Source organism: Homo sapiens, chromosome 1 (assembly GCF_000001405.40).
Source record: "Homo sapiens chromosome 1, GRCh38.p14 Primary Assembly".
NCBI classification, from domain to species: Eukaryota; Metazoa; Chordata; class Mammalia; order Primates; family Hominidae; genus Homo; species Homo sapiens.
Window position 1 is genome coordinate 83,142,833 of NC_000001.11, and position 17,953 is coordinate 83,160,785.

Sequence of the window (17,953 nt, forward strand, 5' to 3'; positions counted from 1 at the left end):
GCTTGGAGGAAGCAAGAGATGGGACCTTGGCAATGGTTGTGGCAGCAGGACTTTCACTTGTTTCTTGGGGCTCCACTCCAGAGATATGCAGAGCCACTACCAGTTGGTACAATCAGCCCTGGATGGGGCAGCTGTGTTGTGGATTCAAGCCAGGAGTCCCTGCCCAATGACAAGCAGTGGGGACCAGGGGACCTGGGGAGACAGACTGGCCTCTTCTCTTTAGGGCAGCCGTGGTTTATTGGAGGTGTGGTTAAAGCACTCATGGTCTTTGTTCCTTTCCCAGTCTGAGGGCAGCAAAGGAAGTACCACTGCAGTTACAGTGGCAGAGGAGTTTTCAGTTGCCTCTTGGAGCTTCACCTCAAAGAAATACAAGGATCCTGCTAACCGGAATGTTCAGCTGGGTGTGGCTGAATATTCATCCAGGGACCCTGCTTGGTGAAAAGCTGGGGGTCAAGGCTCACAGGAAGGGGTGACTATACTCCTATCTGTATGGTGACTGTGGCAAGCTGGAAATGTGAGTAAAGCCCTCAAACTCTTTGCTCCTTTCCCAGTCCTGGGGCAGCAAGGGCAGAACCACTGCAGGAGCCATAGCGGAGAGGCTGTTGGTTTCTTCTGAGAGCTCCATCCCTGGGAACCCAGAGCAACTACCAGTAAGAATGCTTAGCCTGGGGTGGGGCAGCTGTTCTGTGGTCCTGAGCCAGGGGCCCTGCCTGGTGAAGAGTTGGGGGTGAGGACTCACAGGGAAGAAAGACTGAGCTCCTTTTCATAGGGTGGCTGTGGCATGCTGGAGGTGCCAGCATATCAACCAGGCCCTTTGTTCCTTCCCCAGCCTGAAGGCAGTAAGGGCAGTACTACTGCAGCTGCAATGACAGAGGGGCTGTGGATGTCTCTGTGATTTTTTTCTTCAGAGAAACGCAGAGCTGCCACTGACTGAAGTATTCAGGTGCGGGCAGTGTAGTTATGCTGCAGGCACACCTCAAAAAGCCCCCTGCCCAGTGAGGAGTAGCAGGGCCAGGGACCCATGCAGAAAGCCATCTGACTGTTTGTTGGTAAGGCAGCTGTGCTGTGCTGGGGGCCCATGATAGTCCCTAATCCCTGCACTACCCTCCCAATCCTGAGAGCAGCAGGAATGAGGACTGTGGAGCTGCAAAATTTGCAGGCCTGCCTGTTACCCCTGGGAGCTCTGTTCCAAGAAAACGCAGAGCTGCAACAGGCCGAAAGCCCAGGTTGGGTGTTTCTGAGATCCTAGGTCAGGAGGCCTTGCCCTGTGAGGAGTAGCAGGGGTGGGGACCCTCATGGAAAACGTCTGGCCACTTTTCTGTAAGGCAGCTCTGCTATGCTGGGGGTCTTCATTAGTCCACAGTCAAGGTGCTCTCTCCCATGGGTGGAGGGGTCCTAGGGTATTTCCTGTGCCCAGGATTGCAAAGGGGTCCATGGCAGAAGTGTGGTCCCCAGGGACCCTCACTCACTGACCATTTTCCCGAGGTGGGGGCCTCCCCTGGCTCTGTACCACTCACAGGGTGGGCAATTGTCATATCTCACGCTTCTCCATTCTCCGTGGGTTGTGTTGTTTTCTTCATGAATTCCGAAGTTTACTCTTGGATGATCTAGTTGAAGAGCTAGTGTTTACTGATCACACTGTCTTCTCTCCTTGAAATTGGTGCATATTAGCTGCTTCTAGTCAGCCCTCTTGCCCAGAATACCCAAAAAGAAAATTGTTAGTTCAGGGATTGTAGCTTTTTTTTTTGTTTTAACATGAGATATGTGACTATAATAAACTTCAAGTTTTCAGGACCATTTTATGGATAAAAGGAGAATCTAACTTTTAAAAGTTGGGAAAATGATTTAATATTGGAAACTCAAGAGTTACAAATTCTTACAGTTATTTCAAAACTAAAGGTTTCTTTAGAACCAAATTTAGAGCTATAAATCCTATATCCGTAATCAAATCCAGTACTGATAACAATGAACAATTGCTGAAGAGTAATATTCTCTCTCTCTTTACCAATGTAAGCCTTAGCATTGGTACTTTCTTGTATTATCTTTTTGCATGCCATTATGATCAGAAAAAACAAAAAGCTACCCAGAAAGGGCAGCTACATTCTAAATGATAGCTTTTACCTCCCTGAGGAGCTGCTAGTACCTACCTGATTAGAATTCATTTGTAAACAACAGAGGCCTTTTAAATCTAAATTACATTTCCTAATGAATTGTTTCTGTTTATTCAGTTTACATTAAGAAACTCTTCATTCATTGAGCAAATACCTACTGAAACCTATATTATGCCAGGCATTCTGATAAATACTAGGTATGTATCAATAAATAAAAATTACTCCATTTTCAGAAATATTTTGAATAACTCCTATGTATTAAGCAGGAATTTTTTAAATATACTAAAAACAGACAAAAATCCTGATCCTCATAGGGCTGCAGTCTGATGGAGGAAAGGGGAAATCATGCAAACAAATATGTATATCTCTGAAATCTCTAAAATAATGTCAATAAAGGATTAGAATTATAAGGAGAAATAAAGCAGAGAGAAATGGAGAAATCCTGGGTGTGATGTTTAAGTCACAGTGGTCAGGACACACAGTGGTTTAAGTCATCTCTGGAAGTGATTTTGGGGACACAGATTTGAATAAAAGAGAGATTGAACTATAGAATATTTATGGGAAGAGGGCCAGGCGCAGTGGCTCACCCCTGTAATCCCAGCACTTTGGGAGGCCTAGAAGGGCAAATCACGGGGTCAAGAGATCAAGACCATCCTGGCCAACATGGTAAAACCCTGTCTTTACTAAAGTTACAAAAATTAGCTGGGTTTGGTGGCACATGCCTGTAGTCTCAGCTACCTGGGAGGCTGAGGCAGGAGAATCACTTGAATCCAGGAGGTGGAGGTTGCAGTGAGCTGAGATCACACCACTACACTCCAGCCTGGGTGGTGACAGAGCAAGACTCCATCAAAAAAAAAAAAAAAAAAAAAAAAAGAATATTTGTGGAAAGAAATTCATGAGAAGGTTGAGAAAACTGTGCCCGGCAGAAAGGAACTATTGCAAAGCCCTTGAGGTAGGAAAGTGCTTGACTTATTCAAACAGAAGCTAGAAAGCTAGTGGAGTGAGCAACAGGAAGAAGGGAAGGAAGTGAGATTGAGGAGGAGGATGCAATGCTAGATTACATAGAACAATATTGTTTAGAGTTTAAAAATATGAACTTTGTTCTATGTGTAATGAGAAGCCAATAAAAGTTTTGAACATGAAAATGACTACTGTGGTTAGTTTGCAGATGATGGAATACAATGTGTAATAATGTAAACAGGAAGACCAATTAGAGAACTATTGCACGGGCTAAAGTTAAATTAGAAACAAAAAACAATGATGACTGGGCAAGGATATCAGACGATGCTAGATGGTAAATTTAGGATGCTAAATTTCAGATTTACTGGGTTTTAACAAAGTTTAAAATTATTCAAATTTTTAATGTGAGCAACAGTGAGAAATAGTATTTTCATTTCCTAAGATGAGAAAGAATAGAAGGACATGTTTGATGGGAGGGTAAGCAGGAATCAGAAAAAAGGCTTTGTTTTGGATTTCTTTAGTTAGAAATATAGATTTTGCAGTTGAACATATGAATTTGGAATTCAGAAAACAAATTGGCATCAGTAATATAATGTTTGGAAACTTTAATGTTGAGGTGATGTTTAAAGACTTAGGACCCAATAAGATTATTACTGAGGGAGTATGCAAAAGAAGAAGTCTGAAGACTCAGCTAGGATGCTTCAACTTTCAGAAGTTCAGAAGAAGGTAGAATAGAATAATCAGTGTTACAGGCTGAATGTTGTTCTCCCAAAATATATGTTGAAATCTGAAGCTTCAGTACCTGTGCATGTGATCTTCTTTAGAAATAAGATCTTTTAAATGTAATCAAATTCAAAGGAGGTCATTAGAATAGGGATCCAATATGACTGGTGTCCTTATAAGAAGAAGGGATAGAAACACACAGAAGAGAATGCCATGTGAAGACATGGATGCATGAGGTGAGAATGACATGATATTGGAGGCAGAGATTGAAGTGCTGCTGCTACAAGTAGAGGAATGACAAAGATTGCTGGCAAACCACCAGAAGCCAGGAAGAGACAAGAAAGAATTCTTCCTTTATGAGTTTCAGAGGGGAGCATAGTCCTGTCAACATGTTGATTTTGGACTTCAATTCTCCAGAACAGGGAGAAAATAAATTTCTGTTTATTGTAAACTCCCCATTTGTGGCACTTTAAAAAGGCCACCCTAGAAAACCTAAGTCAGCAAGGGAGGAGAGAAATAAGTAACTATGTGGAATTGTCAGTAGTAGATAAAATAAGATGAGGATTGAGAATTGACCTTTGAAGATCACACGTGAACAAAACAGTAGGAGCATCTATGATGACTGCGGATGGAAAGTTGTGGGGTTGCAGATTCGAGAGATAAAGGGATTTTCACTTCCTGCCAAGAGGGAGTAACAGAGACTGGACTTACTCTCCCACATGAAGCAACTAAAAAAGTGGACAAAATATTTAAAATAAAAGTTCTCAATACATTGACCATTAAAAAATGAAAGACAATGATCCATTGACAAGAAGCATGAGCCTTTTGATTGCTCTATTTACTGCCTGGAGAAAGATTCCAGGTCATAGCACAAGGAGGACCTGGGTGTTTTCTAACACCAACAACCAATTTTCCAATTCTCTGATTTTTTACACCAACCAGAGGTCCTACAATTAAATTCCATTATGACACTAACTACCTAGAGTTTGCATGAGACTCTATAGGTTTGAAAGCTCAGTCCCACAAGACTGACCACACTTCAGACTCCAGTTGCTAATGGGGTGCCTAGGCTACCTACCTTTATGCTTGGCCAACTACAAAGTAAGGGGTTCCCAGGACATCCCCCCATGATTAAGAATTTGGTGTAGCAATTTACAGACACTGGAAACAGCTTTACAGACTATTAAAAGATAAAATTAGGCAAATTAAAATCTTAATGAATTTATTTGAGCATGCAGCAATATACGGATTGGCCAGCACCAGAAAACAAGCAGTTAGTGCTCCATTAAGGGGGCATGAGGCAAACACTTTTATAAGGGACACATGGAAACATGACAAAGAAAATATTTGACCAGTTAAAGTGGAAGTCCTTAGAGGTTGATTGGCAGTAGCTGATTAGCTAAGCTTAAGTTTCATGTTACTGTTGACACTGAGTTGGGTTTTGGTTTGCTTCTGTAAGAACCCAAGGTGCTAGTTGTCTCAGCCTATTGGCCTCCCAATTAATTATTTTAATGTTACTATTGCCAGTTTATTATAAAGCTCAGGAACAGCCAAATGGAAGAGACACAAAGTTCAAAGTATGGATGAAAGGGTGCAGAGCTTCCATGACCTCTCCAGTTGCACCACCCTTCCAGCATTTCAATGTGTTCACCAACCTGGAAGCTCTCAAACCCCATGGGTTAGGGTTTTTTATGGAGACTCCATCACATAGGCATGATTTGTTAAATCAGTGGTCACTTGTGAGTGAAATCAATCTCCAATCCCTCTTCTCTCCCTGGAGGTTAAGGGACTGAAAATTCCAACCTTCTAATGAGAAGGCTGGTTCTTCTGACAACCAACCCCCACCCTGAAGCTATCTCACGGCCATAAGAGGGTCACCTCATTAGCATAAATTCAAATGTGGTTGAAAGAAGTTTGTTATTATTAACAAAAGACACTCCTATCACTCAGGAAGTTACAAGGCTTTTAGGCTCTGCTTTGTACCAGAAATGGAACAAACAGTAAATATGCATTTATTCTTATACCACAGAATGGGAACACAAGTGAAACACAGAACTTTGAGTTGAGGAGCTGGAATTGCAGAGAGATCAAGGTGGCTGGCATGTATACAGCACAGTACTGAAGTACAGAGAGCTATACAAAGAAATAACCCCAGAAATCTCCAGAGTCCCCCTTGTACATACAGCTGAGTACTGCTCAGTGCATGTGAGAAAACTACTTGAGTTTGGGAAAAGAACCACCTGAAAGGGTATGAGGGAAAAGTCTTCAATGCTCACAAAGGGATAGGAATAGTGTTGTTCTCAACAGCCAGAATGGAAAACCTCATGATTCACAGGACATCAGGTAGATTGCTCAGAAGATTTATGTCTAAACAGAGGGGTGAACTTAGTCCTAAATGAAATGCTACTATCTTCTCATGCAACAAAGTTTATAATAAGACTCATATAACTTAACTATATCTCAAGAGGAAGCTCAATAATATTTATAGAAATAAAAAAAAAAACCAGCACCAACAAATTAATATTCACAAAAATTTTGCATTCTCCACAAAATTACCATAAATGCCAAAATACAGAAAACTACAATCCATAATAATGAAAGGAAGTAGGAATAACAAGGAACCATGAGGAAATTTTCATGGGTGAGTTTGGTTCATAACTGCAGTAACGGTTAAGTGGGTGCATGCACAGATCAAAACTTAACAATGATGTGTATATACTATATGTCAATTATGCTGCAATAAAGCTGATTGAAAAAAAACGAGACTGGAAGGTGAAGAAGTGGAAAGAGCAACTCTTTGGAGACTTTTCTTTAAAAGAAAAGTTAATAGAAGAATGACGTAGTGGTTGGAAGAAGAGATAGGATAAACAAATTTTCATGTTTTTTTCTGTTTTGAGGAAATAAATAGTATTTAAAAGTAGAATTTGTAGTAGATAGTAACTAAGTGGACACAAAAGATAGGATGAAATGGATTACTGGAACACATATAGTATAGCATCAGAAATAGAGAAACCTGGGTTGCAATCACTGTCGTGGCACTTCATTGTTGTGATCCTATGCAAACCACTTATACCAAATGGACCTCAATTTCTTCATTTGTAAACTGAAGATAACAGCAATATGTACTTGCATTGTATTTACAATTTTAAAAATCATAAATACATAATAGAATCCAGCAGCAAGCATAAAACATAATTAACATTTTGCCTTTGCTTTCTCTGCTCTGTGTAGATAATAAAATGATACACTTTGCAGTGTTTTAGGAAGCTTGTCTTATGTAAACACAGAATAACAGTTTACCAATTTTGTAATATTTTTATTTCTTCCAGTCTGTTTTACTTTGCTAATTGCATACGGATCAACTGTCTTAGAAAAGTACTTTTATGATACTTACTATCTTGGGGAATAATCTTTAGAGAATAAAATAATATTTTTTGATCCTTCAGAAGAACATATAGAATAATGTATTAACTCCATTTAAGATTCTGTCTCCAGCCTCACCCAAGCCGCTTTTTACCTTCGACCATATATTTTATTCCTCTGTGTAACTCAGTGTCTCCTAAACCCAAACATACTCAGGTCTCTGTACATTGAAATATTGCAGCCCTTTATTTCTCCTGGGACACATTCTTTTCTCTCCACTCCCTCCACTCCTTCCATGCTGTTCTCACCTATGGCCAACACTCAACTCACTTTTATGGAGTTTATCAAACTACCAATTCTTCCAAGTGTTTCCCATTTTATGAAATATTTCCCAAAAGACAGCCTCTCCTAGCACCGTTGCCTGACATACCAAGCTCTCCACTACAACTCTTTTTTCACACTAGTGACACACACACACAAAATCTGTATTTTATTGGCCTCACCAGCCAAACTCGTGTGCCATATTTATAAAATAAACAAAATATCAAAATTCTGATGCCTGCTGCTCCTTTTCTCCTTTTAATATCTTGGAGTTTTGTCCTTTCTGAGGATCTCCTACTTGAGACCACGGAAAGCAGCACTGTTAGTAATAGAATTCTGATGTTGATGCCAAGACATTAACCATGTTTCCAATAGGACACTGACAAGGCCAACAGGAACAAAGTGTATTTCTAACAGGACGTGGCCAAGATCACACTGAAGCTACTTCTGAGTTACTGCTGCTTTCTTGCGTAGCTGATCTGGCCTCCTGAACAAAGATTACTGAAATGTCCGGTAACTAAACTGCCCCCTCTTCTTGACAGTGTATCCAGATCGGCTTCCACATCCCTAAGCCCTTCTTCAATAATTCAGCACAAGGAGAAACTCTGTTAAAACCTGCCACTCCTCTCACCGAGAGGCTCTACGCTTATCTTCCATTGTGTTTCCTTTACTACAACAAGATTAAAGACCCTACCTTTTTTTTTTCTTTCCTGTATATAAGTGGTTGGTGGATTTTAACACACCAGTTATTCCTCCTGTGAATCCCTCAGAGATGGTGGAAACTGAGGCTGATGGGGGAACAACTTTAGCTAGGGAAGGAGGGTATTGGTTCTCACATTTGACCCACACTCCTCCTGCCCGGGGTTGTTCCTCTCTGCCTCCCTTCCCTACACTGCTGCTGTCCTCTTTTTGACATTTCTATTTATTTATTTTTCTGCCCTCTCAGATCAGCAGGAGAGCACCTAGGTCTCAGGGCCAGCTCTCTATGGCAGGCCTCTGCAGCAGCACTTGTGAAGTGCTAGTGATTCACTTCCTTCTCTATTGCTCACCCTTCTCTTTCTTGGCAGGCAGTCCAGGGACTGGAGGAGGGTGGAGTATAGCAGGGAAAGCCAGGCACTGCCTCACATTTTCACTGGAAGCACTGCTCCCTCTTATTGGCAGGCCAAGTTTTTTAGTCTGAGCCATCAGACTAGATTTTGCCTTCACTTGCAGTGATCTCCCTCAGCGGCCCTCTTGCCCTTCCATCCAATCTGGCCCCTGTGTGGAATACCAAAACAGCAGTTAAATTTGTGCATGTGGGAAAGTTAACTTACCAAATTCTTTTTCTGCCCTTTGGCAAATTAAAGGATGTAACTGGGAATATCTTACAAGGCACAAACATGCTAGGATGGCTAGGAAAGTTCTGGCTTATTCTGTTAGGATGCTTGTCTGCTCAGCACACACAGAAAACCTTTGGAGTTTATAGGACTAAACCTCTTGCTAAAGCCAACTGGAGTTTTATGATTGCTTATGTAATCCAAACACTACTCTTTAAAAATATAGCAGTTGATTTTATATTAATACTGATTTTGTGTTTAGCTGCCTCCCGCTGTGAGATTGTGAGTGGCCTGCCAGGAGGAATTGGTCTTAGGGGAGTAGCCCCTATCACGTCTCTGGGTGAGTAGCCCTAGCACAGCAGTCAGCATGGAATGGATTCTTATTGGAACTATCCATGAAGCGTTTATAAAGATGCACAAATGCTAGGACATTCAGCAAATCTCCTAATTGGTGTATTGCTTATACCAGGCAATTAAAATATTATTTCATATTGCATGTTTAAAGAAGCTAATACTCGTTAAATTCTTAGTAATCAAATTGGACAAATTAATAAAGTGGGTCTCTTGGCTATGATTTGATTTTGGTTGTACAATGTCTTCAAAGATGAGCCCATTTCCCTACAAAAGATAGTTCCCCACAAAAGAAGTCGAATTCTGTCCAGCAGACATTCACATATCCTAAGTGATTTGTGTGGAACATTGACAATAGTAACAATTTATACCGCTGGCCTCCTAAGTAGCACCAATAATTTTAGGGAGTTGATCTTAACTAATTCAGAGCTCAAATATGCTTGTTCAATAAATTAAAAACTACATTTGGTGGACCTCAAAGCACTAAATTATAAAACTGATACAATATTTTGCCAACACAACATTATGCTTGTTATAATGCCATGTCACAATCCATCTGATATTTTGTGGACAGACACCGTAGTTCTTTATGTATATTAATACTCACAGCAATCTTTGCAATGGGTATTATTATCTGCATTGAAAGATGAGGAAACTAAGGCACAGAAAAATCAAATGATTTTTCTCATGTCAGATGGATGGTAAATTTAGCAGTTTGGCTCCAGTAAGCACATATTTCAAAACAACCCTGTCACAACTCTTTCTATGCTCTACACAAGATTTCTATGAAATAATGTGAAGAAGTTCCTAGCAGTGAGACCATAACAGAGGATCTACCCTAAAAAAAAAAAAGGGGAAAGAAGGTTGTCCTAGATATTCTCAATGATTGTTGCATTTTTAGAGTACAACTTGTATCAGTTTAGCAACATTGAACCTATTTTAGCTTCCTTGCAAGCTACTGATTTTTTTCCTCATTATAAAACCTTCAACTATATAAAGATTTTTCTCAATTCTTGCAGAAAACTAGGATGAATAAAGCAATGAATATGGTACCCTTTTAAATAACACACCAGGTTAGGTAGGAATTTTAACTTTTTTCTTGCTGTTGTTGTTTTTGGAAGATTTATAGCAATTAAATAACATGGTCTCTGGTAGTTCTGGGACTGTATTAACCATGGAATCATTTTATTTGTACATTAATGAAATTTAGGACTATCATGAAATTTATAAAAAATAACATCTAACATATTTTTAGTTGTAAAACCTACATTCACAAGAATCCAAAGTCCTTGTAAAAAATAACCATCTTCCATTAAACATATAAATCACCCCTTCAAAGAGTATCTGTATCCTTGATTTTTCATGAAATTGTGAGTTTCACAACATTGGGGAAGAATTAAGTAGTCTGTATAGCATTAGTATGCTAGGTCATCAAAGGAAAAATGGATAAATATCAGAATTTATTTCCAACAAGAAAATTGTTGTGCACAACTATTCATAGTTCAGTTTTGAAAATAATATTTAATATGCTTTTAAAATGCTAGTCAAGATATTCCAAGTTTTCTCATGCATCATTTACCTTCAGGAAACATGAAGAACTCAAATGTAAAAAAATATTAAAAGAGAAAAAGCCACCCTACCTCAAAAAAGAATGGAATTTTGGGGGGTTTTGTTCTTATAATGTCTTAGTAGATAATATGCTGAAATATATAGAATGATATGTCAACATAAGTCTTCATTAGATTCTAAACTAATGGAGTTTCATGTATGCCTATGACTCTGCATAGTTAAAATATCATCCTGGCATTTAAACTCATCATTGAGATCAGAGCTAACTTGGGAGATCCAGGCTTGCATTGTGAAGTTGCAAATTATGGCAATTTCTCAGGTAATTTGAAGCAATTTCAATGACTTTCTCCTGTCTGCTTCAGGAAAGTACTAAACAAAAAGTAAATGTTATGTTTCATGTTGGGTCACTGATAAAACGTAAATGAACCCAGGACTCAGAATAAATTCCAGAGAGAACAGTATTTCTGTATTCAACGTGATGGTAAAGGCCAATGTATGAGGTTGAAACATCTTTATAATGTAGGTTTGCAAAACTATGTTTACTAAACCCTATTAGCAATATAGTCTTAGAATGGAGTCAAAAGCTACAAAAATAATTGCATAAATAGGTAATGTATGTTAATAAACATCTTATTTATATAACTTATCAGTGATACTCCAGACCTACCACCTCTTTTGTTTTGCTTGAGATTCTGACCTTTTAAACTAATCATTTTTGCTTCCTACATCTTCATTAACACATCATTAACTCTGGAATTTAACCTGAGATCCGTTCTTAATTCTTCTCTCTCAAACTCATAAGGGCTTTATGATAGCTATGTAGTAAAAACAAGGTCTCCCTCTCTCTCTTTCTCTCTCTCTCTCTCTCTCTCTCTCTCTCTCTAAGGAAACACTCAAAACCCTCTACATAGCTTACTGTTGCTTGAATCACCACCAAACACTTTCTCTCCCCTCTCCTGGTGGAACATGCTAGGACATCCTATGAATATGTGCTGGGAGTGTTTTATGAGTGTGATTTTACCTAACCAGGAAGTCAGGAAGGAGGAGAATGACCTAATCTGCCATGTTTTCTTTATGAGAACATCTTCTTGGCAATGTGTGGTTTCAAGAAGTAGCTATAGAGTTTTAAAGTTGCCCTTACATCCTGAGTCAAGAAATGCTACCTTTCCTGCCATTCATTTCAATGAACCTGTAGTTTATTAAGCCAGTATCATTACTTTGAATTTGATTTGTGAGCATTACACAAAAAGCTGTATATGCCTGTATTTGATAAACAGAAGCATCTGACTTTGATTTGCATTACTATATTTGGATTCTTCAGTGATTGCTTGAAATGGCTCATGTTGATCCTTATATATCTTTCTTTTCTTCCTTCCTTCCTTCATTCCCTTCCTCCTTCCTTCCTTCCTTCTTTTTTTTCTTTCCTATTTTTAAAAATTATTACTTTCAGATGATGAAAAGAAGAAAAACAATGAGAGTGACTAGTTAGGAATCATCTAGAAGCTTTAATATAGAAACAAAAACAAAAATAAATACTCCCATCCATACACCCATTTTTTGCTTGAGAATCTCAGGGGAACTAGTTAAAACAGTTGCTAGGCAGCCTATTCCTCATCTCACAATGGGTTAGAACTTTAATCATGTTTACAGAGATACCATGTAAAACTCTAAATGAATAGTCTTATTTTATAGCTCCAATTTAATTAATAGCTAATATTTTTGGCATGTTTATACTAATTGATTACATAGAAATATACTCTATGATATATACATATTTCAGAAATTCTATGATATTTTTGGAAACTTGGTTTTTTTAAACTTTCATATTTTACTGCCTTGGAGTTTACTTGGAAATTGCATACACCAATCTGCTCACACATATCTAGTCTGTTTTTTTCATTCTACAGAGAAAGCTATATTTTATACTACATCCCTTGAGAGATAGTACCTGAATCTACTAGTAATGATATTGTCAAAGAAATTATATAGAGAGCTAGGAAGATAGATAAATGGTATATCTCTTACATACACACATATGCACACACACGTGTTTGTGTGTGAGAGAGAGTACATATGTTCATTCCTATAAAAATACACATATATAGCTTTCTCTGTTTCTAGTTATAACTCCATTAACCATGATAAAAAAATATGTCTTTCTTCTCTTTATAATTTAGATATCTCTATAGACAGTTTTCTTTATTCATGTTGGGAAAATCTAAAGTACTTTTAATTTTTCTTCATTTATTTCTCTATTGTGTTATGTACTTTTACTGCTTTTCCCTTGAATTTTTATTTAAGATGTTCAGTCAAATAAAATAGTCCAGGTATAGTCTCCACAAAAAAATGGGGAGTCCAGGGATACAGATCCTTATCTAAGTCACGCTACTGAAGGACTAGCATATTTCAGGCCCAGGTTCTTCTATATCCTTGCCATTGGTCTCCTATTCCTTCATGGCTCATTGTGAATTCGTCTGTAACATTCTGTCATCTATTAGTCTTTCAGTTCTTACTATGTTTCAAAGCTGGTACACTGATTCAATCTCATATTCCCAGACCAGGGTTTCTTAACCTACAGGTAATGAACAATCCCATGTGTATCTGTTTTACCTTTTTGTTTCTTGGTCTTTTCAGTTTTGCTTTGTTTTTGTTTTATTTTATGAGAATGAGGACCATATATTTTGTTTGATTTTTAAAGAGACCCCTCAAATGCTAAAAAGGGTCATCCTAGATAACAGTCAAGATCTTTGTGACAACCCAGAGTAATTGTGGACACACTTCCATGCTGTCCTGATGTCTTCTTCACCTATTAGGATTGAAGAGGAGTCATGGTCTGCCTAATGTTATAAGGGGCAAGTCTGACAAGGATAAACTCAGATGAAGGTGCTCTTATTTAGAAAAGGTTAATATGATCTATAACATTAAAATTTCGATTAACCCTCTAATGACAATACAGCTGATTTTTTTTGTAATTTTTAATTGAGCTTAATCTCTCCTTTAATAATAGCAAAGAAGATCTTGAACATTCAGAATCCCTAGACAGTAAAATCCTTAACACAGAGAGTGTGCCGGGGACATGGCTACCTATAGTTCAGCAGTGCTGACAAGCTGAATGACACTGGATAAATCATTTAATTTTGATGTCCCTTAGTTACCTTGCCTTGAAATGGGAATGCTAAAAGTTTCACTACTTCCTTTGCAAGGTACTGTGAATGTAAAATAGAATAACTAGAAAGCTAAAATATATATGTAATTTATGTATCTGTAAGTAATGTGTGGAACTTTTAAGCCTTGTATGGGAATAAAACAAATATACACTGTACTATTCTATGAACAAATCTGTTGGCCAACATTCTGATATTGAATATTTATACACGATATAATGTCTTCATTTATTTTCTGGACAGAATATATGAGATTTCTCAACAGAGGATTTCCCGTTCTCTTATTTAAGTATTCTCCTCGGTGTTTGGGAGGCTGTATATTAAACTAGAGAAAAGGTATTTGTTTGTAGTCAAACATAAGCTTTTGTATCTACTCTGCCCTTTTACTAGATCTGGGTCTCTGGGAAGTTAGTAGGTCCTTTATGAATGACAGTGTTCTTGTGTTTTGGCAATACCAACTATAGGTTTTCCTAACATCAGTTTTGTGCTTTGTCAAGTCTCTTGTTTGCTTGGTTTAAATCCCACTTCCAACTTCTTAAAGTCTAATTACAGAATTGTCTTGAGTTTATTGATGTTTAACTTCTAGGGCGGTCTATGAATGTCATCGAAATGTCGATAACTTATTCTTCTAGCAGAAAGAAATCCTCTAGGATATGCTGAACCTTCTGAAAATGATTTTCTTACCTCTATTTACAAGTATCTCAATTTTAAAATCACATTTCTCAAAGTAAAGCAAAAATAGCCAATGAAGAATATTTCTAAAACTCAAGTGAATAAAAGCTGCTTTATTACAATTTTACTCTATTCACGTTTTGGCATGCACTTTCTCTTTTTATTTAGCTAATAGTTACTCTTTGGGAAAAATGCATCATTTAAACATTTATAAAATTTAATTTTAAGACTTTTGATTTATGATAGCTTCTTAAGTGATTATGAAATCTATTTTTGTAGAATATTCAGAAATAACATTCATGTAAATGACTTCAGTTTATCTTGTTAGAAGTATCTATGAAACAAAACTTTCCCAAGTAATTTTACTTAAGTTATCCTTGGAATGATAATTAAACACAAAGACATGGTAAATTGAAAAGTAAAGAAATTAAAAGGATAACAGACAGGTGTGTCTTTGTTTGTTTCTTCCTTCCTTCTTTTCTGAATTATTTAGGAAGTGTCATAACATTTGCAACTTACTCTCAGTAGATTCAGGATGAAAAGAGAAAAAGAAAAATATGCAAATGCAAATATAGCAAAAGTTTTAGCAAACATGTATAATTATTGTACTACTGTTTCAGATTTTCCCTAGGTTTGAAAGTTTTTAAAACATAAATTTAAAATATCTGTGTTTATCTAGCTCCTAATATATATCAGGCACTTTGATATATGAAGTGAATTCAATGTTGAACAAAAAAGACCAAGTCCCTGGCCTCATAGTGCTTAAGGTATTTAGGTAACAGTCATTAAACTAATACTTACATAATATTAAAAACCAGGGTCGATAAGTGTAATAAATGAGTCTGGTGCTTGTGTAGGATTCATGTGGACTCCTGCTTCTGCTGGTACAGTCCAGCACTGGCAAATCTGTGGCAAGACGTTCAGTTCCAGAGCCTCCATGTCAAGGCCATTCTACTGGCTTCAAGCCAAGGGAAAGAAACAGCCTCACTTGGGTCTTCTCTCCTCCTCCCATTCATTTGGCTCCTACTTATCCTCGCATTCATGGGATCTATAACCCACTTTCTATAACCTACTTCTCTATATTACCCAAATTAATTTCAAATACCATGCACAGTGTAAATACAAAATGTTGAGAAAAAACCTCTGGGCTCTGAACAAGCAAGTTTTAGACTCTGAATCAAAAATTCTCTTGGAGTCTTACAATGAATGGAATGTGAATGCATGCAGTGCATACAATTCTAGGGTCACTTTTCTAAAAGGAAGTTTCTTGCTTTTGACTTCCTCATTCCCCTTTCTAAAGACCAGAATGAGAGTGGTTGAGAGACAATTTTCCTCTTTCAATAGCACCATGCATGATCTTATGAGGCAGAGTAATTTCTCCACCCTGGCCATGCCCCTACCTCTGGTCTATTATATAAGAAAAAAATAAAATTATCTCTTGTTTGACTTGCTCTAGTTTTAGGTCTCCTTGTTATAGCCAGCTCAGTCTATATTCTAACTAACATTCATCTTAAGTAAAAATCCAGAAATCATAATTGGCTACCTTTCTTTGTTTTGTAACTTTTCTCCTACCATAGTTTATTTCTTCATTAGCCCTTGACTGAACTGAAGTAGTCACAGCCTTGGTTTCCAAACCTTTTGATTTCCTCCTCTCTTATTCATCCTTCACAGTTCCATCAGCATAATCTTTCTAAAGCCCAAATTGCATTTGCATTACGTGTTCTCCTCAAGGACATTCAAATGGCTCCTCTATTACTTAGAAAATAAAACATGAACTCTTAGCTTGGCATTCAAAGTACTGTAACTTGTGGCTTCACAAGCAATAGAGTTATGAAGTTACTATGTTATGCCCAAGTGGTTTTGTTGAGAGAGCAACACCCTCCTCCAACTACTTCACTCATTGAAATTCTAATAATCCTTGAAATTCTAATAAGGCTGCCTTGAATTCCATATATTTTATGAAAATCCTTCCTTAGTTCCTCAAATTGAATTCATAATTCTTCTTCCACTATTCAGATAAAATTTTGCTTTTACCTCTTTTGGATATTTTATTCAGTCAAATATTATAATTTCTTTAATATGTATCTATCTCTACCTCTAGAATATAAACTCCTTGAGGATATGCACTGTATATTATTTTTCTGTATCATTTTTATTGCTATCACCCATGGAAACGTGCATATTTCTCCACATATCAGAGGTAACAAAAAATGTGTACTGAATTGAACTAACTTGAAAAAGGCTAAACTATCCAATTCTTTCCTGAACAAGAATGGTCATTTCTGTAAGCCAAGATACTACCAGAAATTGAGAGAGAGAGAATATGATTTGATATAGTCCTCCAAAATTGGGTGTTTGAGTTTATTTACTTTAAGCAAGACATGATTTCCATTTTCCAAAAGAAAAAAACCTTGAATATATTATAAGAAAACGATAAGGCTTTCTGGACATCAAAGAATTCTTACAAAATAACTTTTGAATTAGTTAACTATAAAAGAATCAGAAACATACAAATTAATTTCTCCTTGAGATACACTGGGCTTAAAAATAAAGAAGAAACATGTTTAAGATTATATAAAGCCTACAACTTTGAGGAAAGATTTCAGAAAACAAAACACTGAAGTCTAATAATATGGTAAAAATTTAACTATAATGGCAAATTATTCAAACATTTTAACTCCCTACTAACCTTCTCCAAATGTGAACCATTTACTAAATGACAGATTTTTTTTTTTTTAGGATTATGGCTTAACTTACTGGTCTCAGTTATATATCTTCTCATTTTGCCACAAAATGCTAGTAAAAACTTTCATTTAGCAAGTGCTTACAATATGATAGGTATATTTCCAAATATTATCTTTACTCTAAACAACAGCTCATGTTTCCAAAATGGCAGTTCCAGATGTCAGAGATTTTTTTGACTAATCCATGCTGTCTCAGCATGTTTTCTCATATCTTGAAACTCCTTCTAACTTCATATATTATGAGAAATCATGAAAGGAACCTCTTATCTGCCCAGAAAATCTCACCATATCTTTGGGAAAAAGAAATAATATCTACCTCATTCGTAAATGTTGTGATTAATTGGCCAATGTGTAATATTAATAATAGCAAACATCTATGGTGCATGCTTTATTATGTGAGATGTTGTATTAAGTGTTTCAAACATCTAATTTCAGTTTTCACAACTTCATACAAGTATTTTGTTATCCTCACTTTACAGATAGAGAAATGGAAACTCCAAAAGATTAAGCAAGAAGCCCATAGGAACACAATTAGTAGAGGTAGGATTTGAATTTATATCTGCCTAGTTCCAAATCTTATACTATTTACTATGATTTCACATTGTTTTTGCTTCAAAAATTATAAACGATTCATAATAAAGTATACTACCATAAAAATT

General features: G+C 37.0%; 1 long non-coding RNA gene across 1 annotated transcript in view; it reads left to right on the forward strand.

Annotated features, from left to right (window-relative positions):
- LINC01362 (long intergenic non-protein coding RNA 1362) overlaps positions 1–17,953 on the forward strand; it is a 263,633-nt gene that overhangs the window by 239,650 nt on the left and 6,030 nt on the right. Inside the window, exon 10 of the long non-coding RNA NR_147074.1 lies at positions 17,774–17,834. This is a non-coding gene — a long non-coding RNA (long intergenic non-protein coding RNA 1362). The remainder of the gene's footprint in view (positions 1–17,773; positions 17,835–17,953) is intronic.